The following is a 25,934-nucleotide window of genomic DNA, read 5'->3' as shown; positions in this document are numbered from 1 at the left end:
TGCTGTCCGGCCCCCGGGCCCCTACTCCCAGTGGCCGCGGACCACGAGAGGACACCGAAGGCGCGGGGATGCGGGTGTCCCAGGGGGCGTCCCGGCCCCGCCCGCGCGTCGGCTCTGCACTCCCCGAGGCTCAGTCGCCGTCCTGGGCCAGGAGGTGTCCCCGCCTCGGACCTCCCCAAACTTCCCGAAACTGCCGCTTCGCTCTGGCAGCCCTCGGCCCACCGCTCCGCCCGCCCCTTTCCTACGATGCTCCCCGAATCGCCACCCCCGCCTCCGCCCCCAAGAGACTCCTCCTTAGGAAGCGCCTGCCCCGAAGAAGGGGCGGCCCCGCCAAGAGCTCGGGCCTCGAACTTCGTCCTCCTGCTCGCAGCCGCCCTCCCCAAGCCCCCGGGACGCTGTCGGCGCAAGGAGACCCCTCGGCTGCCGCCGCGGCCCGGAGTTTCGGAGGCCGCGTCCCGCCGCTCAAGTGGGGCCCGCAGCGCCGCCCCCCGCGTGTGGCCGAGGGTCTCTGGGCGTCTGTGGCCCGGGAGGGCGTGCGGAGGGGACGGGGCGGCGGCACCAGCTCCAGAAGCAGGGGGATTCTTGCGGTGAACATTTTGCAGGAATGTAAATGAGTGCGTTTTGTGTGGTGAGGGAGGAAGGGGGGGCTGGGGGCGGGGGCAGGGGAGGACTGGGGGGGCGGGGAAGGGTGGGGGCGGGGAGGAGGGTTGCACATTTTACAGCTCACTGACCATTTGGCGATCCATTGAGAGGAGGGTTTGGAAAAGTGGCTCCTTTGTGACAGCTCTCGCCAGATTGGGGGGCTGCTGATTTGCATCTCATTAGCCATGCGGGCGGCCGGCTGAATATAAGGGCGGCAGGCGCCGGCGAGAGCCAGATCCTCTGCGCGCACCCGCGGAGACCCGACCCGGCCGAGGGCAGAGCGCAGGGGAACCCGGGCAGCCGCGGCGCAGAGCCTCCTCCCACGGCCCGGCCCCTCCGGTCCTGCGCGTGTGTACTGGATGGCATTGGCTGGATTCATCGGAAAGACGCGGATCTTTGCTGTGACACCGGAGATCGGAGCCCGGAGTGCTCCCGGAACGACCGCCGCCGCCGAGTGACACCGGGCCGCGATCCGCAGGGGCCGCCGCGCACACCCGCCGCCGCCGACCGTCCCCTCAGCGCGCGCCGCTGGCCCCGGATTATCGCCTTGCCCGTGGGATTTCCAGACCGCGGCTTTCTAATCGGCTCGGGAGGAAGCTCTGCAGCTCTCTTGGGAATTAAGCTCAATCTCTGGACTCTCTCTCTTTCTCTTTCTCCCCCTCCCTCTCCTGCGAAGAAGCTCAAGACAAAACCAGGAAGCCGGCGACCCTCACCTCCTCGGGGGCTGGGAGGAAGGAGGAAAACGAAAGTCGCCGCCGCCGCGCTGTCCCCCGAGAGCTGCCTTTCCTCGGGCATCCCTGGGGCTGCCGCGGGACCTCGCAGGGCGGATATAAAGAACCGCGGCCTTGGGAAGAGGCGGAGACCGGCTTTTAAAGAAAGAAGTCCTGGGTCCTGCGGTCTGGGGCGAGGCAAGGGCGCTTTTCTGCCCACGCTCCCCGTGGCCCATCGATCCCCCGCGCGTCCGCCGCTGTTCTAAGGAGAGAAGTGGGGGCCCCCCAGGCTCGCGCGTGGAGCGAAGCAGCATGGGCAGTCGGTGCGCGCTGGCCCTGGCGGTGCTCTCGGCCTTGCTGTGTCAGGTAGGCGGGCAGGTGGGGGCGCCGCGGCCCCGCGGGGTCTCACGGGTAGCCGGGGCGCGGGGCAGGAGCGCGCGGGGAGGGGCGGACAGCGGCACGGGCCGCGCCAGCCACGGCCCGGAAGATGAATCCCGGGGGCGACGACCCCAGCGCCGGCCGTGCAGCGAGCGCGCTCGGCCCCTGAGCCCTTCCAGGCTCTCCGCACACCCCCCACCCAGGCCTCACGCCCCCTAGCTCGGGCGGGACCCGCGTCCTCACGCCCCCGCCCTCCCCCGTGCAGGTCTGGAGCTCTGGGGTGTTCGAACTGAAGCTGCAGGAGTTCGTCAACAAGAAGGGGCTGCTGGGGAACCGCAACTGCTGCCGCGGGGGCGCGGGGCCACCGCCGTGCGCCTGCCGGACCTTCTTCCGCGTGTGCCTCAAGCACTACCAGGCCAGCGTGTCCCCCGAGCCGCCCTGCACCTACGGCAGCGCCGTCACCCCCGTGCTGGGCGTCGACTCCTTCAGTCTGCCCGACGGCGGGGGCGCCGACTCCGCGTTCAGCAACCCCATCCGCTTCCCCTTCGGCTTCACCTGGCCGGTGAGTGCCGCACCTGCGCGCGCCGGGCCGGCCCTGAAGCTGGGCGGGCTGCAGGACGCGCTGGGATCCCGCCTTGGGCGCTCGGTGGCGGGACCTCGGGGACCCCGCGAGGCGCAGGTGGGCGCTGCGATCTGCCTAGCGGCGGCCCCAGGACTCCAGCCCAGCAGCGCGGACACCTCGCCCCGGGGCCCCGCGGCCTGCAGGAGGGGACCGCGCTGGGGCGAGGAGGAGAGGCCGAGCGCGCCCGGGAGATTTCCGTATCCGGCCTCTGTGCCAGGTCTCCAGTCAGAGGCGCCCCTTCACGTGGGAAGGTTCTGGTTTCCCGACTCCTAGACGCGTTGGTGGCGCGATTACCCGCGCAGCGCGACCGCTACCACCCGGAGCGTGCCCATCCCCCAAGAAAAATGACAAGGGCCCTCGGGCCTCTTCCACCCCATCCTGCCTGCATTCTCTCTCTCTCTCTAATTAAAAAAACAACGTAATATCCTGTAGTACAGGCTGAAAAAACACGTCAGGAAACCACTCTTTAAAAAGTTCTTCCATTTCCTTAGGGAAGGTGAGAGCAGGCAGGAGGTGCGTGGAGACCCTCTCCAGACACGCTGCCCCAGACCTGCAGCCTTCAGGCCTCTGTTGCTGACCTGGCTGTTAGGAATGACTGCTTTTTGCCGTTTTCTTTTCGTTACCTTTCTGGGTTGTCTAACGTCTTCTCCCCTCTCTCCCAGGGCACCTTCTCTCTGATTATTGAAGCTCTCCACACAGATTCTCCTGATGACCTCGCAACAGGTAAAAACAAAACCCAAACCCCAAAACTGCTTTCCCCAGTTAATAGCATTGGACTTTGCCCACCCATCCCCCAGCCAAACCCGGACAGCTTTCATTCTGCACGTGCCCCAGAAAGTTCAGGGTGGAGCAGCTTGGGCCTCCTTCCCGTGCTGAATGTCTCGGCCCACCCCCGCTCTGTCCCGAGTCACAGGGTTCTCGTTCAGAACCAACCAGGAGCATCTTCTCCCCGTAGAAAACCCAGAAAGACTCATCAGCCGCCTGGCCACCCAGAGGCACCTGACGGTGGGCGAGGAGTGGTCCCAGGACCTGCACAGCAGCGGCCGCACGGACCTCAAGTACTCCTACCGCTTCGTGTGTGACGAACACTACTACGGAGAGGGCTGCTCCGTTTTCTGCCGTCCCCGGGACGATGCCTTCGGCCACTTCACCTGTGGGGAGCGTGGGGAGAAAGTGTGCAACCCTGGCTGGAAAGGGCCCTACTGCACAGAGCGTGAGTCTCTGGGAAGGCACCGCTGGCTCACTCGTCCACGAACACGGACCGCGCGCAGGGACGGGGCTTCCTGAGCCACGGGGGGCTTGGGACTGTAGAGATGTTCTGGTGGGGAAACTGAGGCCCAGAGGACAGAAGTGGATTGCTATAAGTCACAGCTCGTCAGTGGGGGGGTTGGGGTCAACGCAGACATTTTAACATCCCAGGCTGTGTTTATCCACTATCGGAACTGCCTTTCTTAATCAGGGAGGATTTTAGAGACAGGGCCAGGGGTCAGGAAGTAAAGCCAGTGCTACCCCCAGGGTGTGTGTATTAGAGAGGGAGAGGAGGAAGGAAGGGAGGAACACAGAGAGAGCTTGTGTGTCAGGGGCACCATTTCAACCCGAGTTCCCAGTGCTGGAACAGCATCACACTGGGAAACGTTCCATTTTCTCTCTGGAGCTGGTGTGCTTGACCTCTCTGGAGCAAACGCCTTTCCGGATACTCCCTGTGACACGCACTGTCTATGCTGGCCAGAGAGCAGGCTTTCACTCCTGTGGGCTGCTGAGGCCAGGTCTCCAAGGCCTGTGTGGGCGAGGGGTGCACAGCCCCGTCTGGCTTGAATGCTCAGGCAGCACCTTGTCTGGAGAAGCAATGTCTTCCCAATAGTGACAGAGGCTCTACCTGCCTCTTATTAGGTATTGATGTGTCAATGTCATGGCAGGCAGGTGACTAGGGCAGGGTTGGGGCCGTGCTGGCTCCTGGTTCTGGCTCATGGGGACCTCAGGAGCCCTCTCTCCAGCTGACTGAGGCCTCGCCTGCACGCCTGGCCGTCCCAGCCCATTGGTACCGGATTTCTCTACAGCTGGGGATTGGGTAGGTCCTGGAGCTGCCCAGAAACTCCAGGGAACTGTCATTCTCCTTCCTTGGAACTGGACAACCTTGGAGAGGGGCTCTGGGAGGCCCAGAACCTCTGGCAGGAGCTGGGTAGTGCCTGGGGTTGAGGGTGGGTCTTCCCATTCACTGAGTGCCTTGATGTCCTTGCTCCTTAGCTTCCCAAATTCCCTCCGGAACTTACTGAGCTCCTTCTAAGCTTTGCCTTGGCCTGAACTGGTTCTGGGGAAAAACAAAAAAACAAAAAACAACTTGTGGAGCTGCTTGTTAATGAGTTTCATAACCAGGCAGCAAGAGCCAGCTCCAAGCCTCAAGCCCACTGTCTACTCCCTGCCCTGCGGGAGCCTCTGGCCAGTCTGCTGCCTCCCACCCTTCCTCCCTGCCTCTCTTCACCACAGGGTAGCCAGAAACTTAAACTTTTTTCTTCAAACACTGAAGTCTCTCCCCGCCCCCAGCTCGCGCGTGCCATAGATTAGATCTCTCCGGGGATAGGCGCAGGGACACCCGCCGGCTCCCATTGGCGGAAGGGGTGCGTGTGCGTGTGTGTGTGTGTGTGTGTGTGTACACGCGAGGGGTGTGTGTGAGGAGGTGGGGCCGGGGGCGCGGGGGAGGCCGGCATTGTTGCGCTGGGGCAGCTGCCGTGGAGGACAGACAATGGAGCAGCTGTCCTGCCCTGGCACCCTGCATACCAGCTGTCCACTCTTATCTGCACACACACTTTCTGGGATATTAAGAGGTGGAGCTTTGTGCACAGAATTGGGAAGTGGGGGAGGAGGAGGGGGAAGACTTCTGACCCTCTCTTAGAAGAAAAGGGGATAGGGTGGGGGTGGGGGCTTCCGAGAGCCCTTTTGTCCTTGAGCCCCTGTGTTAAGAAGAATGCTCATCCCCAGGGCTGAGTCAAGTCCCAGGCTACTAGGCAGGGGGGTCAGTCCTCCACAACCTGGGAAGATTAACTCAGCTGGGATTTGCTGACTGAAGCCGGCGAGTTGTGTCCTGGCCCCAAGGGCGGCAGCCCTGTTGGGACGTACTTGGCGTGGGGCTTGACCCTGTTTTTCCTTTGCTTGTAGCGATCTGCCTGCCTGGATGTGATGAGCAGCATGGATTTTGTGACAAACCAGGGGAATGCAAGTAAGTCTGCACAAGGTGGTGTTTTGTTTTGTTGCCTTTTCTTGTTATCTTTTCACAGCTGGTGTATTTGTAAAAACAGCCCTAGGTGATCATTCGAAAAACTCCAGTAAGATTGATTGAACAGGGGGCCGTTTTCTCATGTTTCTACTTAATCAATGTTTGGCAGCATGTAAGGTCATGGAGTTGTCATTCGTCTAAGCCCCTTAACGGCTATGAGAATTTACAGATAGTAGTTTAAAAAGAGTTGGCACAGGAAATGATAGTATAGTTCAATGGTTCTCAAATGTTGCCTCATCCTAGAATCACTCAGGGAGTGATTTTTGAGATGCTGACACTGGTGCTGCCCTAACACCCAAGAAGCCAGAACCTCTGGTGGGGCCCAGGCCCAGGCTGCAGCTCCCAAGGTGACCCAGTGTTCTGCTAATCTGGAGAACCAGAGGCTCACTGGTGCTGCGGGAAGATGGTTTCTAGGGTGAGAATGTCCACTGCAAAGCCAGCAACAGTCAACGTCCATCTGAGTCTTCTGCTTTTCTCCAAGGTGCAGAGTGGGCTGGCAGGGCCGGTACTGTGACGAGTGTATCCGCTATCCAGGCTGTCTCCATGGCACCTGCCAGCAGCCCTGGCAGTGCAACTGCCAGGAAGGCTGGGGGGGCCTTTTCTGCAACCAGGGTAAGCCTTCTCTCCCTGAGGCAGCCTGCTCCCTCCAGAGCAGCCCTGGACTTCCCTGGCTGTTTGATCACTGGAAAAATAAAGTCTTCCTGCATTTGATGTCGAGCTTCCTATCTCCTACTTTTCCTGTCCCCACCCTTCACAGACCTGAACTACTGCACACACCATAAGCCCTGCAAGAATGGAGCCACCTGCACCAACACGGGCCAGGGGAGCTACACTTGCTCTTGCCGGCCTGGGTACACAGGTGCCACCTGCGAGCTGGGGATTGACGAGTGTGACCCCAGCCCTTGTAAGAACGGAGGGAGCTGCACGGTGAGTCGGAGGCTCCATGGCATCTCACCCGGAAGCTGGGGTGCCCTGGTGTTGAATGGAGTGTGTGGGCTCCTTGGAGCAACTTTGGAAAGCCTTTTCTGACCTCTCCATCGTGTAGGATCTCGAGAACAGCTACTCCTGTACCTGCCCACCCGGCTTCTACGGCAAAATCTGTGAATTGAGTGCCATGACCTGTGCGGACGGCCCTTGCTTTAACGGGGGTCGGTGCTCAGACAGCCCCGATGGAGGGTACAGCTGCCGCTGCCCCGTGGGCTACTCCGGCTTCAACTGTGAGAAGAAAATTGACTACTGCAGCTCTTCACCCTGTTCTAATGGTAAGGGGGCAGCTGGTGATTGCTCAGAGACTCGGGCGAGCGGTCAATACTGAGGTGGCATTAAAAACAAGCATTTGTGAGTGACCTCGAGTTTATGAATCACTTTTATCCAGACCGCCAGGAATTCTCGATGGAAACTCTATCTTTGAGTCTGGAAAGGCCTGGGGAATGAGAGAGGCCAGGGCATTTGTTATGAAGTTCTCTGTGGAAACCTAGACCAAGCAGTGAATGACTTGCTCAGGGCCACAAGGTGCTTCGGGCACCTGCGGCCGCCTGAGGTTCAGTAAGTGATGCCCACAGGTGCCGGCCACTCCAGCTTGGGAGGATGGCCCAGCTGTGTGGCCACCCAGCACAGTAGTTGGGGGTGTCCCTGAGTGAGGACAGAGAGCCTCCTGCTAGCAGCGAGGGGCTGGCTGCCCAAAGGAGACACACAGCAAGGAGAGCTGGGCCCCAGATGTGCCGGAGCATTCCGGAATGGTCATCCTTCCCCTCCCTCCCTCCCCTGTTGTCAGTGCCTGCTCCTCTCACTTGCTGTGTAACTGTGGGCAAGGACACCCTCGTTAAGCCTCAGTTTCCCCATCTGAAACCTGGGTCGAGTGGCACATGCTCTTGCCCGGCTGTTGTGGCGACTAATGCAGCCACCAGAGTGTTCTGCACAGCGCCTGTCCAGATGCTGGCCGTGTGGTTTCTGACTTGTAGAGCTAGACCTGGACACCTCTCGTATTTGAGGTCCTAAACCATGTCACCTTGCGCTGTGGACTCATTCAGGCCACAGACTGTCTTTGGTTTGTCTGGTTTCTACAGTGTCAGACAGATAGATGCTTCAGAGTGACTTTTTGGTGAACAAACCTACGAGGAGACACGTGATGTTCATGTCCCTGTGTTCCAGGTGCCAAGTGTGTGGACCTCGGTGATGCCTACCTGTGCCGCTGCCAGGCCGGCTTCTCGGGGAGGCACTGTGACGACAACGTGGACGACTGCGCCTCCTCCCCGTGCGCCAACGGGGGCACCTGCCGGGATGGCGTGAACGACTTCTCCTGCACCTGCCCGCCTGGCTACACGGGCAGGAACTGCAGTGCCCCCGTCAGCAGGTGCGAGCACGCACCCTGCCACAATGGGGCCACCTGCCACGAGAGGGGCCACCGCTATGTGTGCGAGTGTGCCCGAGGCTACGGGGGTCCCAACTGCCAGTTCCTGCTCCCCGAGCTGCCCCCGGGCCCAGCGGTGGTGGACCTCACTGAGAAGCTAGAGGGCCAGGGCGGGCCATTCCCCTGGGTGGCCGTGTGCGCCGGGGTCATCCTTGTCCTCATGCTGCTGCTGGGCTGTGCCGCTGTGGTGGTCTGCGTCCGGCTGAGGCTGCAGAAGCACCGGCCCCCAGCCGACCCCTGCCGGGGGGAGACGGAGACCATGAACAACCTGGCCAACTGCCAGCGTGAGAAGGACATCTCAGTCAGCATCATCGGGGCCACGCAGATCAAGAACACCAACAAGAAGGCGGACTTCCACGGGGACCACAGCGCCGACAAGAATGGCTTCAAGGCCCGCTACCCAGCGGTGGACTATAACCTCGTGCAGGACCTCAAGGGTGACGACACCGCCGTCAGGGACGCGCACAGCAAGCGTGACACCAAGTGCCAGCCCCAGGGCTCCTCAGGGGAGGAGAAGGGGACCCCGACCACACTCAGGGGGTGCGTGCTGCGGGCCGGGCATCAGGAGGGGGTACCTGGGGGGTGTCTTCCTGGAACCACTGCTCCGTTTCTCTTCCCAAATGTTCTCATGCATTCATTGTGGATTTTCTCTATTTTCCTTTTAGTGGAGAAGCATCTGAAAGAAAAAGGCCGGACTCGGGCTGTTCAACTTCAAAAGACACCAAGTACCAGTCGGTGTACGTCATATCCGAGGAGAAGGATGAGTGCGTCATAGCAACTGAGGTCAGTGCAGGCAGCAGCCGCTCCCTCCTCCTCGGCATGGGAGCACCTGAAGCTGGAGCACGGGAATCGGTCTCAGGCTAACTTCCCATTTGTCTTGTGGCCCCCCAGGTGTAAAATGGAAGTGAGATGGCAAGACTCCCGTTTCTCTTAAAATAAGTAAAATTCCAAGGATATATGCCCCAACGAATGCTGCTGAAGAGGAGGGAGGCCTCGTGGACTGCTGCTGAGAAACCGAGTTCAGACCGAGCAGGTTCTCCTCCTGAGGTCCTCGACGCCTGCCGACAGCCTGTCGCGGCCCGGCCGCCTGCGGCACTGCCTTCCGTGACGTCGCCGTTGCACTATGGACAGTTGCTCTTAAGAGAATATATATTTAAATGGGTGAACTGAATTACGCATAAGAAGCATGCACTGCCTGAGTGTATATTTTGGATTCTTATGAGCCAGTCTTTTCTTGAATTAGAAACACAAACACTGCCTTTATTGTCCTTTTTGATACGAAGATGTGCTTTTTCTAGATGGAAAAGATGTGTGTTATTTTTTGGATTTGTAAAAATATTTTTCATGATATCTGTAAAGCTTGAGTATTTTGTGATGTTCGTTTTTTATAATTTAAATTTTGGTAAATATGTACAAAGGCACTTCGGGTCTATGTGACTATATTTTTTTGTATATAAATGTATTTATGGAATATTGTGCAAATGTTATTTGAGTTTTTTACTGTTTTGTTAATGAAGAAATTCCTTTTTAAAATATTTTTCCAAAATAAATTTTATGAATGACAACCAGAAGGCGTAGTTACTTGGCTTTGCCTTAGAGCGGAGGTGTGCTCACTCACCTGCGGCCCGCGAGGCTGAGGGCAGAGGTGGCCTTGGTGTTTCTCTTTTCAAGGCTTTGGTTTCCCTGGATCCATGAGAAGCAGCCCGTTCCTCTCCTCCCTCAGGAAGCTGCTTGCTGGCCATCATGAGGTGACTTGGTAAGAGCAGGCACGCGCATGAAGCAGCCGCGATTTTCTAATTCCATCCCCCCATGCATTTATTAGTTCTTTCCGCAGAAAGAATGAGCGTTCCTCATTCATTCATTCATTCATTCATTCATTCATTCATTCATGTCAGTGTAGACTTGTGAGTTATTTTGTACCCAGTGGGTCACAGCTGTCATGATTTTGTCGCCGTTTGACGCCAACATGGCCCCAGACGGGGCGTGGGAGTCACGGAAGCTGCTCCTCCGCTTCCCGTCGGTGGGCAGCCCCGTCTCTAAGCGCGTCCCGCCTGCTGGCTCAGCAGGACCGCACGGGCTCCCTGTGGGCTGACCCCTCATTTGCCGCTTTGCCCCCCGCTAAGCCCGGGTTCCTTATGGTAGTGATTGCATTTTTAACTTGCGCGTACCTCAAAGCGCTGAGCGGTTCCCAGGATGGAAAGAGGGCGACCGATGTAGCAGGAGCTGCGCGGAGGCACTGGCGCTCACTCCCCTCAGACCCGACTCCGCTTGCATTTCCTCCTTGCATTAAGGGCACGTTAAATGCCAGGCCAGCAACACCAGCAAAGAGGAGAAGTGTTTTGCTAAGAACATTGAGCTTGAATCCGATGACAGCTCTCAGTCTCATTACCAGTTACGGAAACACGGGACTGAAAACTCCTTCCTCGACGCCCCACGCATCTGCGCAGCCGAATCCAGGGAACTCTGTAGCCAAATAAATTGCAAGGAAAAAACAAGAAAATGGTGAGGGGGAACCCATAGATACAAAGAGACACGGACATATCAATCCATCGCAGCGTCTGGATCTGGTTCCTGTTTCAAACAGTTTAAAAATTTTATGAACCCACTGGAGACATGTAAGCGCTGACTGGGATATCCACATGATTTTAAAGTGCACCTGCTAAATAGTTTAGATGTGATGTGTTATTACTGTTCAGTTTAAAAAGAGACCTTATCTTTTAGAGAAAATTCTGAAATATTTATGGATGAAACAATACGAGGCCTGGGACTGATTCGGAGCCCCCCGCCGCGGGCACGGTGGCACGGGGAGTCCCACGAGCACTGCTGGGGGTCGCTGCAGCTGGGAGTGGCCCATGGGGGCGCTCACTTCCGTGTTCTTTCCTCTTTCGTACACGTTTGAAACTTCCCATAAGCAAAAGCATTAAGCCGGACCATACAGTGAATACACGCACACGCAAACACGACAGTTTCCGGGTGTGTATGGACCGCCGTGTCTGTGACGTGACCCACAGCAGAATGCATCTGAGGGAGGCTTGCTGTGGTTGCATACGCACATCGCAGATGAGAAATCTTACAAGGCCAAAAGCAAGCCAATTAAACTGGGTGGAGAGCGGGAGTCCGGTCAAGGACGCTGGTAGCAGAGTCTCAGGCTCGCTGGTGGCGCGCCTAGGTGATTGCCCACTCTGCTGAGTCCTTGAAAGGGAAACGGCAGCGTCTGCAGCAGTGCTGGGAGCACCTCCTCCCGTCTGCAGGGGACGGTGCCTTTCAGGGCACGGTTCTGCGCATGTGCTCAGCTGGCGCCAGCGAACGGCTTCCGGCTGCTCTTAGCGTGGAGTTCAAAATCCTTGACTTGGCCTCTCAGGTCATGCACCATCCGGCTCCCGCCTGTCTTGGAGCCTCGTTTCGTTATTCTCCCACGGGTCTGTTACCGCTCGGCTCCAGCCAGCGCCCTGGCAGCCTGGTTCTCCATCCGCCCCCACTCTGCGACTTTGAGTGGGATCTTCCATCTGTCTGGTGACTTCCAGTGTGACCTTCTTCCGCCACGAAAATGACCCGCCTGGGTTACCTGCCGCACGTGATGGTGCTCTTGCAGTTTGCCCTGTGGCATGATTAATTCGTGTAGCTGTTTGTTTAGTGGGCGTGTGTCCCAGGAGACTGCAACCTCAAAGAGGGCGGGCTGTGTTGGCCCTGGTTCACCACTGCAACCCAATCCCCACTTGAGGCTGAAGCAAGAAAACGTTCTCTATCCATGTGAGCTATAATTTGAGAACACACAGACACACACTCAGGACATTTCATCATGAAAGAAGCTTCATTCTCGTGTTCACTCTTACCAATGTCACTAGGAGTTTCGAACCATAACATGAAGCCAAACACAGGGATTATCTGAGCGGATGAACATAGTATTCTGTTTTTATTCTAATAACTGGCTGCCTAGATACAGCCCTGTATATGGTAAGAGTGCGTCTACTTGGTATCCAGCAAACAAAGTGTTATGCATTAGTAATTCCTCAGTCCATGCATTTTACAGAAAAGGCAGAGGGAAGGTAAATCGTTTCCTGAGGAACAGCTGAATGTCTAGAAACGTCAAGATGAAGAGTAGAATTTTGCATGCAAGGACACGCGCCATGAGCACCAGGCCTCACACGCAGGAGGCACACAGTACGTCTGTGTTGAATGTAGTATCTTCCACTACAAGGATAAGGAAACAAAAAGTACTTAGAAACTTTACACATTTGTCATTTGGAAACAATTCAGAGATAAGTTTTTAAGATGATATGTATTAGTGCAGAGTACTAGAATTTTTCCGGAACAACTTTCATTACATTTATTTGCTCAAACAAGTGACTATTTCCATTTTGGAGAAGCCCAACTGAGCTAAATCACTTTGCCACTGAGGAGGGCTGGGGAGGTGGCAGGGGTGCCATCAAGGTGTCGTCTGGCTAACACACATTCTTTCTATTTTTCTTGTTTCTTATGGAAACATTCATGGCTCCACGCCTGGCATTTGCTGAATCCATCTTCTAGAGATTACGATTTTAATAGAATCCGGAGTGAGGTACCTGAGGAAGGCAGAATGAAGCAGCATTTTAAAATGTATTGCAACATGAGCATCAGAACCTTTTGTTTTTTTTAAAGCACAGAAAAGAAAAATGACAAGACTCATGTCATTAATTACGTTCTCAAAGAAAATAAGGTCAGTGTAAGAGGAAATCATCTAAAATTGCAGGACAGGGCATTCTCGTTGGATCGAGGCATGAAGAAAACTTCAAGGCTGTCAGTGGTTTATCGAGGAAGTGGTAGAATCTTCCTCGGATACGATTTTTAGAAGACAAGCCAACCTTCCATGGCAAGAGGTGCAGACGTGTGCCTCAGCTGCCAAGGGCCTCCCAGGCTGTTTCCTGTGCACCAACTTCCTCTGCTTCCTCGGTGTCTAAACCCATGGTCAAAGCACCATTCACGAAAAGCATGTTACTGTTTTAAGTTAATTTGAACTTTAAAATTATTGAACCATAAGGAAAAATATCTCTGCTTTGTGGTCCTGGATATTTTACAAGAACCTTGATTCCTTTAGTGAATCTTAATTCACAGCTCAGTGCTGGGATATTCAACAAATAAAATCACTTTTCAGAGACAGGATCAGAATCTGCTACTTCCTGCTCCTCAGCCTGCCTTGCCAAACCCCCAAGTGGCACCCTGGTGTAGACATTATGGACCTCAACAGCAGTACTTTAGCCTGATGCCTAGAACCTCTTACACTTTTATGGAAGTGGCCTAAGAGTGTTTGTGACGGGATTCGTGGTGTCTCCAACTTTCTCTCTTGCGCTGTCCCACCCTGACCTGTGGGGGGAGAGAGGAAGGAAGGAAGAAGGGGGGAAGGGCGTCTGGTGTCAGACGCTTACAATAGGAATTGCTCACCTGCAGAAGGGCAAGTATTGTTTCTTCTAGAATTAGTATGAATTGGATTTTGTGAATTTCAGCTCTTTCTTAGAAGCTTAGAAAAAAATTTGGTATAAACATTTGAAATAAAAAAATGCAATAAGCAACAGAGTTAGATCTTGTCTCTACAAAAAAATTTTAAAAGAATTAGCTGAGTGTGCTGGTGGCACCTGTGGTCCCAACTACTCAGGAGGCTGAGGCAGGAGGACGGCTTGAGCCCAGGAGGCCGAGGCTTCAGTGAGCTGTGATTGCGCCACTGCACTCCAGCCTGGGGGACAGAGCAAGACTTCATCTTAAAAAAAAAAAAAAAAGCAATATTAAAAAGGTGTATTGAAAAGGGAAAAACACTCTAAATTTGAGAGTTTTAGTTAAAATGAAAAAGCAACAGTTAGGACCATTTCTGATCCTCAAAGTCAATACTTTTGAAACAGGAGAGGGAAGGGAGGTGGGGGAGCCCTGGAGCTGCTCCCAACGAGTGGGGCAGGGGCCTCAGACGCAGGCTCTAGAGCCCAGGCTGGACCTGGCAGAGGACAGTTCAGTGTCTCTGTAGTCAAACAGGTGTCAGAAATATCATGAAACCCCCAGTTTATTCGTCATGATTACACTCTAGCCCTGACTGGGTTTTTTGCTCATTTTTTGCTCAGTAGCTTAAAGTTAATGTTGAAAATGTCAAAGAGGCCTGCAGATACCCCTAGAGAGACAGCAGTTTGTTAAAGGGGATAAAGGGGAAGTGTTTATGTTTATAGCACAGAAAGTCAAGCTGTTAGAGAAACTGGACAATGGTGTAAATGTGAAATGTCACATTTGCCACCACAAATGGTGGCAGGAAGGTGAGGAAGAGAAAGAAATAAAAATACTTGAGATGAGGCCCGAAATGGAAAATGGAATTAATCATCCCATTGCTCTAAATGCTCTAAGTGCGCTAAAAGCATTTCTTTTTTTCTTTTTTTGAGACGGAGTCTCGCTCTGTCGCCCAGGCTGGAGTGCAGGGGCGCGATCTCGACTCACTGCAAGCTCCGCGTCCCGGGTTCACGCCATTCTCCTGCCTCAGCCTCCCGAGCAGCTGGGACCACAGGCGCCCGCCACCACACCCCGCTAATTTTTTGTATTTTTAGTAGAGACTGGGTTTCACCGTGTTAGCCAGGATGGTCTCGGCCTCCCAAAGTGCTGCGATTGCAGGCGTGAAACACCGCGCCCGGCCAAGCCCTTCTCATCTTAACGTCCTCTTTCAGCAGAAGGAACTTATCCTGGTCCTAACTGTTGAGGTCACTGCTGACTCTGCCCCCGGCTCCAACGGTACAAAGTCACCTCCAATTTAAAGATGCTACAGAGGACCCCGTCCGCACGTGAGCTCCCCGGAGTGATGGAGGGGAAAGGGCTGCCTTCCCATTGCCGTGCGTGGAGAGCAGCAGAGACTGTGTTTGGACTCCTGCCACGGAAAAGGCTGCGTTGGCCGTGTCTCCAGGGAGGACAAACTAATTTTAACAAACTGACCCAAACAGGACTCGGAAGGTCAGTATGTTGCAATCTCCGGTCCTCCTGCCTGCTTCGTGGTTCGTTCCAAAAGCTAAGTATGCTGTTTCAATTTGATCTGCTATTTCGGGTGATCTAGTCCCTGTTAGTTCTTGACAGTCCAGGAGGCGCCTGGTGGGTGGAGAATCTTCCCCTTTCTCCTCCACAAACCTGACCCTTGTGGAGAAGGCAGCCTGGAATCCCCTGGGTTCTGAATGTCTCCGCCTTTTCTCCAGCGCAAGCGCTGGGCCTGAGCACAGTCTCCGCACAGAGGCCTGCGGTGTCGCGGGGGTGGTGAGCCCTGGCTCGTCCCTGAGGCTGAAATCTGGCTTTTGGGCTGGGGGTTCTGCCTCTCACTGCCTTTGGCCACAGCTCTCTCCTCCACCCTGAAAGGCCCTCGGAGTGGAGTTGGGAATACAGTAGTGACAACGCGGGCTCCAGGGAAAACGTGCTTGTGATGTGGTGCCCACGAGCTTGTTTTCCAGACTTGGCTCTACTGAGCAGCCCTGGAAGTTGAATCTTCACGTTGTCCAATGAGACATAAAGACTGGAAAGAGTCTTTCCATCTCTGACATACCCAGCACCGAGCTTCCCTCTTTTTTTTTCGAGACAGGGTCTTACTCCTTTTGCTCAGGCTGGGGTGCAGTGGCACAATCTCAGCTCACTGCAGCCTTGAACTCCTAGACTCAAGGGATCCTCCCACCTCAACCTCCTGAGTAGCTGAAACCACAGGAATGTGCCACCACCATGCCCAGCTAATTTTTGTATTTTTTGGAGAGATGGGGTTTTGCCATGTTGCCCAGGCTAGTCTCAAACTCCTGGGCTCAAGTGAGCCTCCCATCTTGACCACCCAAAGACTGAGCTTATAGTTGAGAGCCACTGTGCTGGCCCAGGCTTCCCTCATTTATAAGGTGGGGCCAGGTGTCTTATGGCAGACTGGATAAATATCCATGTCATTTACTGTGTGTGTGTCTGTGTGTGTGTATGGTGGGGGTAGTAAGTTTGAAGGTAGGGGCTGTACTGTTTCTCCCTTTTCATCTTTTTTTCCTTTCTACTCCCTCTTGAAGAACATGAGAATTTGGGTAACAAAATGCCTCTTCATTACAGGGATACTTTGATGTTAAAACCCTAGGGTGAAATGAAATGGACTTAACAAATGCCTGCCTGCCTATCTTTTTTGTGGGGTCTAACTTGTACCTGCTTATTCTTTGGAAACCTCTATTTCTTTTAGGTGCATCCCACGGACTCATTTAAATGTTCCCTGAGTGCTTCGTCTGTGCCGCACGTTGCTCTGCGTGGTGGAGATAAATGAGGAGTAGAAGCTGCGCCTGGCCTGAAGGCACCCCAGGTCACTCTTGGGGAAACACAGTGCCCATCGCTGATGCTCACCAAGGTTCCGGTCCTGCGGACAAGCCCCTGCCATGCACCTGATCGTGGATCTGGCCTCTGTGACCGGCTCTGGAAGTTCCCATGAATGGACTCTTCCTCGGCATGCTTCCGGGTGGCATCCGTTCTTTCCCCGCGTATTGCTTAGGGGTTCTATGAGAATTTCTCTGAGGGAGCCCTGGGGTGAGGAGGCCGCAGGGACCCAGCTTTCAAGCGGCAAAGGCCAGCGGCTTCTCCGCACAGCCTGTCCCTGCGTCCTCAGGCTGACGCAGTTTCTGTAAAGGGTCACCCTGACGGATGCTAACAGCGGCTTCTCCGCACAGCCTGTCCCTGCGTCCTCAGGCTGACGCAGTTTCTGTAAAGGGTCACCCTGGCAGATGCTAACAGCGGCTTCTCCCGCGCAGCCTTTCCCTGCGTCCTCAGGCTGACGCAGGTTCTGCAAAGGGTCACCCTGACGGATGCTAACACTTTTTATTGGCTTCCTCTCCTCCCTGCCTTCCCTTCCTGTGCCCACATCTGTCTCTGGGGCTGGCAGGACGTCAGGCTGCTCCTCCGTCTGGTTAAAGCTGGGCCCAGTTGCTGGATGTGGGGCTCTGCTGGGAAGCTTGGAGACAGGGTGGGGACCGCAGGGAGGCAGCTCCCTTCTGGTTTGCCAGAGGGACCAGGAAGCAGCACCCACAACCCCTGCCTACCCCATGGCTTATTTGTCTGATTAACTCGTCATCATCTGCTGAAACCTAGAACGGGGTCTTAGGGTGATTGATTGCTTAGGAACAGGCAGGGGAGGGGGCTCAGGGCACCAAGGGGCTGCAGGACTTGAGTCAGGGTCAGGCTGTGGGATGGGTAGAATAAGCGGAATTATACAATCCTGGACCACTGGTAATACCAAGGACCTGTGTGTACCTGCTCCCCACCCCACACACCTTCCTTGGTGTTGTGGTAGAAATAGAAGCAGAACTACGAAGTTTCTTCCTTCAGTACAAGCCACAGCGGTTCTGGATACAATTTCTAACCCACCCCTCCTTGCACGGCACTGCCTTTCCTTCCTGCCTGATCCCTGGGCCCAAAACCCTCGTGACTTTTTTAAGTCATATATACACCGGTTCAGAAAGACGTCTGGCTGAAAGAAGAGAGTTATGCCCTGATTCATTTTCACCTTAATTCAATTTAAATCAAAGCAATCGTGAGCTGCTGTTCTCCATGGCGACGGCTCATCGTAGCTGTGGAACTCCACACACCTCACCTGGGGCAGCTGGTGCTCAGAAGGCAGATGGGAGGTCAGGTGCCCCTCGGAAGCCACAGCTGGCCACCCCTCGGAATGCTTGCTCCTAATTCTGCATCCTCTGCTTATTTAAGAGAACAATGTTACAAACCCATGCTGAGACATCCACCTTTTCCCCCGTGGATCTTAGGGTGTGGGGCCACTCCAGGGCTTACTGCTGCGGTGGCAAACCCTGGAAGACAGTGGGATCTCACTGAGACAGGCCCTCTGCGCCCCCACCTTGGCTCCGGAAGATGCCTTTGTACTTGTGCTTGCCTCCCACTTGCACGAGGTTCTGAGCCCTTCTCTCCATCAAACCAAAGTGGTAGCATGCAGCTGGGCTGTTGGCAGCAGTGCTCAGTGATGGGAGAGCTTAGGGAACATTCGCTGAAAGAGAGAGATGAATGAAGATTCTTGAACGTGGAAGGCTGTGATTTTGTCAGACAAGAACACCATGTGGGAAATTAGGGCCCAGAAGACTTGTTCCCAGTTGGACCAGGCTTATTCGACAGTCACCCAGGACCTGGTCGCCTCTTCTTGTGGGTTGAGAAGATCTTGCCTCTCAAAGGGAGTAAAACTGAAGCACCCTCCTCACTGGAATACCAGGTGAGAAAGGCCAGTGAGACAGATGCCAGGGCCCTGGCAAGGCGGGTGCGAGGCCCCCCCCCCAGTTCAGGAGGAGCCAAAGGAAGCGCGTTGGGCTGGGGCCTGGTGTCCGTCGCCCATCGGGGGCTTGCACAGCGCTGCGGCTCGGCGGCGGGAACCTCGGTGCCGTTCACTCCTTGCGGTGGGGGAACGGAGCCCTCGTTCCACAGGCCCTCGGCCTTCCCCACTGGTGAACTCGAGCTGAGCTGTGGGGGCAGAGGGGGCAGCAGCCCCTCCGTGGAAGCTCAGCATCCACAGGGCACCTGCAGCAAGGGAGGCAGAGCTGGGCAATATCCACGCAGCGTGAAGGCATTTAGCAATCAGTCGGAAACTAAACTCAATACGATGCCTCAGAAGACTGGTGATTCGCCCCGATTAGACGGACCAGTCCTTACAAATTGCCTTTTCATGTTGTGCTGTAAATAACCAACGTATGTAATAACATTATCATACCCCAGATAGAAGATTCCAGGGGGAGAGACTCAAAGCTGCAGGTTGACAGTTGCCCAGAGCCCGAGGGGAGGTGACCAGTTTTGCTCCCAGCTGTCACTGGGCTGGTCCCTCCCTGCGCACGGAAGACGAGAGGAGGCGAAGCTGCGGGAGCACCTCCTGAGAAGGCGCCACATGGCTCCCGTGGCTTCTCCGGCCCCAGCTCACCTCTAACCCAACCCTGTGCGGCCAGGGCAGGGGCGTCCTCTCCCCCCGCAGCCCCGAGGGTCCCTGTCGCTGGCCGGGCACCAGAGAGGCTTTGTGATCGTCCCCAGCCAGCGTTCCCTCCCTGGGCCATGAACTCTCTGAAGAAAAGGGTGGTCTGCTTCCCTCTGTCCCTCTGAGGCGGTTCCTGAGGCAGTAGGTCCCAGTGATCATGGAAGGTGGAAGGAGAAGCGTGGGAAATGAGGATGTGGGGTTAGCAGGAAGCGACGGCGCCCATGCCACTGCCCGAGGGCCTCGCAGCTGCTTGTGAGGGGCTGTGTCCACCAGCAGCGAGGGTGTGCTGGGCCCAAGGTCACCAGCTCCAAACAGTTGCAGGTGCGTCTCAGCCAGGTTCTTCCCTCCAGCATCAAGGCACCTGGGGTCCTGGCTCCTAGGTCTTGTGGAATTTGCCTACAGCACGAACAGCCTTCTGGAGACCTCCACACAAAGAACCCGACAGCCCCCCTGTCCTCCAGCTGGCTACGTTCTACGCATCAGGAAACCAAGGCACACAGACATCACCTTGGGCCACACGGCTGGTGCAGGGGGAGGTGGCCGTGAGACCACGCGCTTCAGATTCCACAGAGCCGCCGCGGCCGATGGAGCTTCCTCGCGGTGACCCCCGGGCCCTACTTCCCCTGGGGCTGGAGCCCACACAGCCGTCTCCTCTCTACGCTGCGTAGGCAAACCTGTCTTCTCCACAGGAAACCCAGCTGCCTCTAGAAATTAACCACATTCTAGAAAGTGGGTTTGACTCCTGCATACACTTTTACTTTCTCATTTGGGTCTCCGGAGGAAATGAAAATCCACGATTAGCACAGGAGACGCACGTGACCCGTGTGGCTTGCACCATTTGTCGTTTTCCCACACATCAGCGCCAACCGGGCATGCGTGGTCCTCACCCACAGGGACTTGCTCGCTCTGGGTTACTTCTGGACAAAAAAGTCTCTGCAGCCGCCCTTTCAGTGTCTGCACGCCTCATCCTCCCTCCTCCCCAGCCCGTAGCCCGGGCCCAGGGCCTGCGGCCGCTTCGTGCTCCCAAGCTGTGTCTCACGGGGGCACCCACCCTACCGTGCCAAGCAACCTGCTGATGGGCAGAGGGAAGGAGCCCCTTCTTGGCCTCCAGAGCCCAACAAGAACCAGCTCCTGGTAACAGTGGGGTGAAGCCAGTGACGTGGGTTGATAGGAAGCCATTCCATTTAGGAGATCATTTGAACATGATGTGGATCAATGGTGTGGAATACAGAAGAAAGGCCCCCGGGCACGGCCTCCCCAACCTCCCGACCCCAGAGCCAACAGCACGTTGTGGATTAAGCCCCAGGCCCTGAGATGTGGATTAGCCTGGATTCCCCAGGGGAGCCCAGTGGAAGAACAGGGTCTGTACAGGGGACAGAGGGAGGAATTCGGCAGCGGCAGGGGTGGGTCAGCGAGGCTGGAGATGCAGTGTGGCTCAGAGACAGGGAAGGGGCCAGGAGCCCAGGAATGTGTGGCCTCTGGAAACGGGAAGAGACATGAAGAGGTTCTCTCGGAGTCTCCGGAAGGAGCCAGGCTGGCCAAGCCTTGGTTTTTTACCCCAGTGGGACCCTTGTCAGGCTCCTGACCTGCAGAACCGTGAGGGGATGAATGTGTGTCTTGTAAGCCTCTCAGCTTGTGATGGCAGCGAGAGCTCCCCAGGAGGGGCTGCGAGCCGATGAAGAGGGAGGGTGCATGGTGGCCTCCGCCTGCCCCCTGGCCATCTGCAGTGGTGCCCCCGTGTGCTCATTAGAGCTTGATGCCCTTGTGCCTTGAAGACTTAGTCCAGACATTCTATGAAAGTGAAGAAGGTGGCCGGGCGTGGTGGCTCACGCCTGTAATCCCAGCACTTTGGGAGGCCGAGGTGGGTAGATCACTTGAGGTCAGGAGTTTGAGACCAGCCTGGTCAACATGGTGAAACACTGTTTCTACTAAAAATACAAAAATTAGCTGGGTGTGGTGGTGTGTGCCTGTAGTCCCAGCTACTCGGGAGACTGAGGCAGGAGAATTGCTTGAACCCGGGAGGCAGAGGTTGCAGTGAGCTGAGATCATGCCACTGTACTCCAGCCTGGGTGACAGAGTGAGACTCCATTTCAAAAATAATAATAATAATAAAATAAAATAAAAATAGCCAGGCATGGTGGTGTGCACCTGTAATCCCAGCTACTCGGGAGGCTGAGGCAGGAGAATTGCTTGAACCTGGGAGGCAGAGGTTGCAGTGAGCTGAGATTGTGCCACTGCATTCCAACCTGAGTGACAGGGTGAGACTGTCTCAAAAAAACAAAAACAAACAAAAAAAACAAAGTGAAAATGGCATGGGCAAATGATGCCACACGTCCCCTGGCCCCACACTGCCATCTGTGCGAAGAAGGGAGCAGGACGCTTCAGTGGGCACTGGGAGGGAGGCGGCACGTCACCGCGGTCCATGCCCTGAGCGGTTTCAGGGTGCGGAGCTCTGTGCACGGATACACCTCTCAGGCCCCTTTGTCTCAGCCAACAGTTGAGTGCAGTCAACTGTGTAATCGAGAACCCAGAGTATTTCTCTAGGAAAACTGCTCAGTTCTTTCCAAAATGCCACGAGAACTTCAATGATGGGAACGGGGAACAGGTGCTGGGAGCAGCTGCCACCGATTCACGGCTCTTCTTCTTTTAAATACATTTTCTGTGGGGAAACCAAGGGCTTTCACAAGCATTTTGCTCTGAAATATTCAAGGAATGTTTCTTGTTTTTTCTTATTACAGCAACAGTTTTAGTATTTATAAGCTGAGTCAAGAGGCCTGCCACAGAACTAGGGAAGTAGCAAGTTAGAGGGATAAAAAAAATCTCAATTACTAACCCCTGCAGTTGCTTTGAAATAGCATTTGGTTGTCTACTGGCAGCTTTCTGAGATGAATTCTTGACTCCTTTACAAACCTAGGCTAAAACAGGCGCTCAGAGACTGTGTGTAAACTGTCAAATGTCACCCTCAGGCGTTGGGGGTGGGCGAGCACCCGCCCTGGTGACCTGACTCCGAGGGTTTCATGGGCTTCTGCCCCATTTCCTGATCCGCTGTCACGCAGCATTCCCGGCATGGCTGGGGGAGGGCCCTGTCTTCTGGGAGCCCCAGAGTCCCTGGGCTGGGCCACGCTCCCTCCGCAGGTGTTTATGGTGTGTCTTTGTGCTGGGCCTGGGCTCGGTGAGCAGAGTCAACATGATTCTCGGGAGAGCGTTTATGGTCCGTGAGACAGATGTGAGGTGTGTGCATTCCCCACACAAGAGACAAAGTGAGGCCCCGGTGTTTGCCAAACTGGGATCGCTAGTAGCAGCAGGCTCTGTGGCGCCCACAACAGCTCTTAGACTTGGAACGACCGGAACACTAAGGGCTTCGTACTTGATTCTCATTTGTGTTTTGTGCCTCCTGAAAAGCTGGGTCCAAGTCAAGTCAGCTAGTTCCTGAGGTGGAGGATTACAGATGTCCCCACTTTCTCCATACATATGAGCAGGTACAGGGTCCCCACCCCGCGTCACACATGCTTCTGTGGGGAAGGCTGTAGGCTTTTCTCCCTCACAGGCATTTGTAGTAACGGGTGCTATTTGCTCACAATGTGTTGAATCTGTGGGAATGAAAGCTGCTTAGGGCCATACCGTTAAATGGTGGCAACAGATATTTTTAGATTAAAAAAGAATGTCACCTAAGAAACAAGAGCACACTTACCTCTGATGTCCCCAAGGCATTAGGTAGAATCCCGTTGTCCACACTGACTGGGTTTTAGGGAGGGATTTCGTGGCCTGCCTTTTTCGTAGAAAGTGGCCCCAGCCAGTGTGACCTGGTCTCTGAGCCTTGTCGTCACAACCACCTGCTGAGTTCCCAGGCTTCCTGGTGGGCACTTTTCCTGCCATTTATCAGGTCAAAGTAAAGTGGGAATTGTCCAGTGACTGCCAGTAGCCAGCTCTCAGGCTGCTAGTAGACTCACGCTTTGGGGGCCGACTTCTCTGGATAGCTGCTCACATTTCCTGCCTCAGTCAGCCCACTCCGCCCAGCATTTGCCCCACAGGCCGAGGGCCCTGGCACCCCAGATGTCACCCTTCCTCCCGGGAGGGCTGCAGGCAACGGGTGAGGTGCGGGCTCACACCTAGGAGACAGTGACCCATCCTCCCACGGGGCTTCCTTAGCGGGTGGTGAGGTTGTTGAGTTCTGAATCCATTCAGTGACAAGGACTGATGGTCACCGTGGGGCAGTGGGGGCTGTTCCGGGTATGGGGTGCCCCTTTACCTCGGGTGTGGCTGCTCTATCTTAGGAGTAGCGGGCACTTTCCTCCTCCTTGTACACCGAGTGAGTTCCCGGGGGCTGCCATGGCAAATTACCTCCTCTATGCAACTGAAATTCGTTTTCTCACAGTCCTAGAGATCAGAATTCCTGGATGCAGGTGTGGGCGGGGCTGGCTCCTCTGTGGCTGTCAGGGAGACTCCAGGCCTCTCCCAGCTTTGAGTGCTGTGAGATCCTGGTGCCCTTGTCTTGTGGGTGCATCACCTTGATCTCTGCCTCCCTCTTCCACAGCCTTCTTGCCCTGCCTCTGTGTCTCGTGTCCTTATAAGAACACCAGTCACTGGATTCCAGGCTGACCCTCATCCAGCTCAACCTCATCTCCACTCTCAACTATCTGCAGAGACCTGTTTCCACACAAGCTCACATCACGAGGCTCTGGGGGGACGTGGATTTTGGAGGAACACCTCTCAGCCCACTACAGAGCCTTTTACTACCATCAATCAAATGAATTTTTCAAAGGCACGTCTGTTATACATTTTTTTTTCAGTGAGCTTTTTCTGAGAACTTTTTGGGTTCAAAGCACCCAGATGGTATAAATGACGTGGAAAATGGCCCTCCCAAAAAGATGCCATGAGGGAGCTGCACATGGGGCTGGGGGGAGTCGGAGACAGCACGTGTGAGCGGACGTGTGGCCGGCACCCAAACCAGACGCCATGTGATTACAGATCCTGCAGGGAATTACAGGAGGCAACTCAACGTAGGAGATTGGTGTCATACTAACAGAAAACCAAGACTGAAGAGACAGGAACGACTGTCCGGGTTTCCCAGACAGGACCGTCCCAGGAAGCAGACAACACAGGCCTGCGTGCGGCCCTGGCCTTGAGTGTGCTGGACGCAGGGGACCGTCCCAGGAAGCGGACAACACAGCCCTGCGTGCGGCCCTGGCCGTGAGTGTGCTGGACGCAGGGGACCGTCCCAGGAAGCGGACAACACAGCCCTGCGTGCGGCCCTGGCCGTGAGTGTGCTGGACGCAGGGGACCGTCCCAGGAAGCGGACAACACAGGCCTGCGTGCGGCCCTGGCCGTGAGTGTGCTGGACGCAGGGGACCGTCCCAGGAAGCGGACAACACAGGCCTGCGTGCGGCCCTGGCCGTGAGTGTGCTGGACGCAGGGGACCGTCCCAGGAAGCGGACAACACAGGCCTGCGTGCGGCCCTGGCCGTGAGTGTGCTGGACGCAGGGGACCGTCCCAGGAAGCGGACAACACAGGCCTGTGTGCGGCCCTGGCCGTGAGTGTGCTGGACGCAGGGGACCGTCCCAGGAAGCGGACAACACAGGCCTGCGTGTGGCCCTGGCCGTGAGTGTGCTGGACGCAGGGGACCGTCCCAGGAAGCGGACAACACAGGCCTGCGTGTGGCCCTGGCCGTGAGTGTGCTGGACGCAGGGGACCGTCCCAGGAAGCGGACAACACAGGCCTGTGTGCGGCCCTGGCCGTGAGTGTGCTGGACGCAGGGGACCGTCCCAGGAAGCGGACAACACAGGCCTGCGTGCGGCCCTGGCCGTGAGTGTGCTGGACGCAGGGGACCGTCCCAGGAAGCGGACAACACAGGCCTGCGTGCGGCCCTGGCCGTGAGTGTGCTGGACGCAGGGGACCGTCCCAGGAAGCGGACAACACAGGCCTGCGTGCGGCCCTGGCCGTGAGTGTGCTGGACGCAGGGGACCGTCCCAGGAAGCGGACAACACAGGCCTGCGTGCGGCCCTGGCCGTGAGTGTGCTGGACGCAGGGTACCGTCCCAGGAAGCGGACAACACAGCCCTGCGTGCGGCCCTGCCGTGAGTCTCCACCTTTCTGTCTCTCTGGGCTGTGGCTGGGCAGCACGGAAGGGGGGAATCACCTACCTTTTGGTCCAGAAAAATCCATTCCACAGTTTCCACCTTCCCTCACTGACAAACGGGATTTTAAATCCCTTTATCTGGAGACAAACAGAAAGTGTGTGCTTGTGGCGAATAATTTCAGCTGATATTCTTACCAGCTGTTAAGAAACACATGCAAAAAAAAAAAAAAAAAAGACTGGTGACATCTGGCTGGCATTGATATTTTGTGACAGAGTATCTTTTTCCTGGGGGTGTTTTCCAAGAAACCAGTCTCTGGGTCCCCAATCCCCTCACTGCCTGACTGCTTCAGCCTCCAGCCCCCAACCTTTGACCTCTTTGAAAAACAAAAAAGAAAGTGATCATATTGACCAAAGCAACTGTAACCCAAATTGCGGCCACATAATTGGGCGTGGTGACATTGCATTAGCTCAGATTAAACAATGGCCCAGCAGCTGCTTCCCCACGCCAGGCTTTCGACTTCAACTTCCCCTGAGCCACACAATGGGGCATTTTGCTGAGATGGGAAAGATCAGGAGAGGAGGCCCTGTTCCCTGCCACGGCCAGCTGACCTCCTTCTCCTCTTCTAACTGCTTGTAATCGGAGGGATTGTAAATAATGTCAGATAAACGTACTAACACTGTGAATGTTTTCTCTGAAATGTCCAAGTCTATTTTGCCTCATTTTCCCAAGAACGCTGATGAAATGGGCCAGTTTCAGACGGAAGTTTAGACTGGTTAGACCCCTTCTGGATGAGCCGAGGTGCTCAGATACAGCCCGGCACCAAACAGGGACTTTGCCGTCAACGGCACACCCCACAGGTGGCGGTGGCGCCGTA

The 25,934-nt window shown here is 55.7% G+C and overlaps 2 protein-coding genes and 2 long non-coding RNA genes across 5 annotated transcripts in view, besides 3 other annotated features; 2 read left to right on the top strand and 2 right to left on the bottom strand.

Moving 5' to 3' along the window:
- Positions 1-1,101, bottom strand: part of FAM120B (family with sequence similarity 120 member B) — a 116,365-nt gene extending 115,264 nt beyond the window's left edge. The window contains exon 1 of the mRNA NM_001286379.2: positions 732-1,101. Within this exon, the coding sequence (NP_001273308.1) occupies positions 732-746 (15 nt within the window). The 5' untranslated portion in view covers positions 747-1,101. The remainder of the gene's footprint in view (positions 1-731) is intronic.
- On the top strand, positions 726-9,598 carry DLL1 (delta like canonical Notch ligand 1). 2 transcript variants are annotated; one of them, XM_005266934.5, is made up of 11 exons: positions 726-1,718; positions 1,996-2,292; positions 3,015-3,075; positions 3,308-3,565; positions 5,506-5,566; positions 6,105-6,235; positions 6,381-6,550; positions 6,669-6,885; positions 7,775-7,976; positions 8,699-8,816; positions 8,925-9,598. In XM_005266934.5, exons 1-11 carry the CDS (start codon positions 1,665-1,667, stop codon positions 8,928-8,930), a joined length of 1,575 nt encoding a protein of 524 aa, XP_005266991.1. In that variant the 5' UTR covers positions 726-1,664; the 3' UTR covers positions 8,931-9,598. The 2 variants fall into 2 exon arrangements, with proteins under 2 accessions (XP_005266991.1, NP_005609.3); NM_005618.4 differs by having other exon boundaries at positions 7,775-8,573.
- Positions 8,461-9,660: an enhancer, noted in NCBI's record as "P300/CBP strongly-dependent group 1 enhancer chr6:170591232-170592431 (GRCh37/hg19 assembly coordinates)". NCBI's record gives its function as "activates an origin of replication core promoter dependent on BRD2, BRD4, P300/CBP, MED14 and CDK7 cofactors, with strong dependence on P300/CBP, by STARR-seq in HCT116 cells {active_cell/tissue: HCT116}" and the evidence as "EXISTENCE:reporter gene assay evidence [ECO:0000049][PMID:35650434]".
- LINC01624 (long intergenic non-protein coding RNA 1624) lies at positions 12,335-19,330 on the bottom strand. Its single transcript, NR_104177.1, has 2 exons — positions 16,374-19,330; positions 12,335-12,595 (listed from the first exon to the last, which is right to left on the bottom strand). It is a non-coding gene; the product is annotated as a long intergenic non-protein coding RNA 1624 (long non-coding RNA).
- On the top strand, positions 15,042-25,135 carry LOC285804 (uncharacterized). The gene is made up of 3 exons (NR_126021.1): positions 15,042-15,119; positions 16,216-16,473; positions 23,519-25,135. It is a non-coding gene; the product is annotated as an uncharacterized LOC285804 (long non-coding RNA).
- Positions 24,031-24,607: an enhancer, noted in NCBI's record as "H3K27ac-H3K4me1 hESC enhancer chr6:170576285-170576861 (GRCh37/hg19 assembly coordinates)". NCBI's record gives its function as "activates a minimal SCP1, AML or CMV promoter by ChIP-STARR-seq in naive H9 embryonic stem cells {active_cell/tissue: H9 hESC(naive)}" and the evidence as "EXISTENCE:reporter gene assay evidence [ECO:0000049][PMID:30033119]".
- Positions 24,608-25,184: an enhancer, noted in NCBI's record as "H3K27ac-H3K4me1 hESC enhancer chr6:170575708-170576284 (GRCh37/hg19 assembly coordinates)". NCBI's record gives its function as "activates a minimal SCP1, AML or CMV promoter by ChIP-STARR-seq in naive H9 embryonic stem cells {active_cell/tissue: H9 hESC(naive)}" and the evidence as "EXISTENCE:reporter gene assay evidence [ECO:0000049][PMID:30033119]".

Source organism: Homo sapiens, chromosome 6 (genome assembly GCF_000001405.40).
Source record: "Homo sapiens chromosome 6, GRCh38.p14 Primary Assembly".
NCBI lineage: Eukaryota > Metazoa > Chordata > Mammalia > Primates > Hominidae > Homo > Homo sapiens.
The sequence above is the reverse complement of the archived record's forward strand: the minus strand, read 5'-3'. Positions and strand labels throughout refer to the sequence as shown.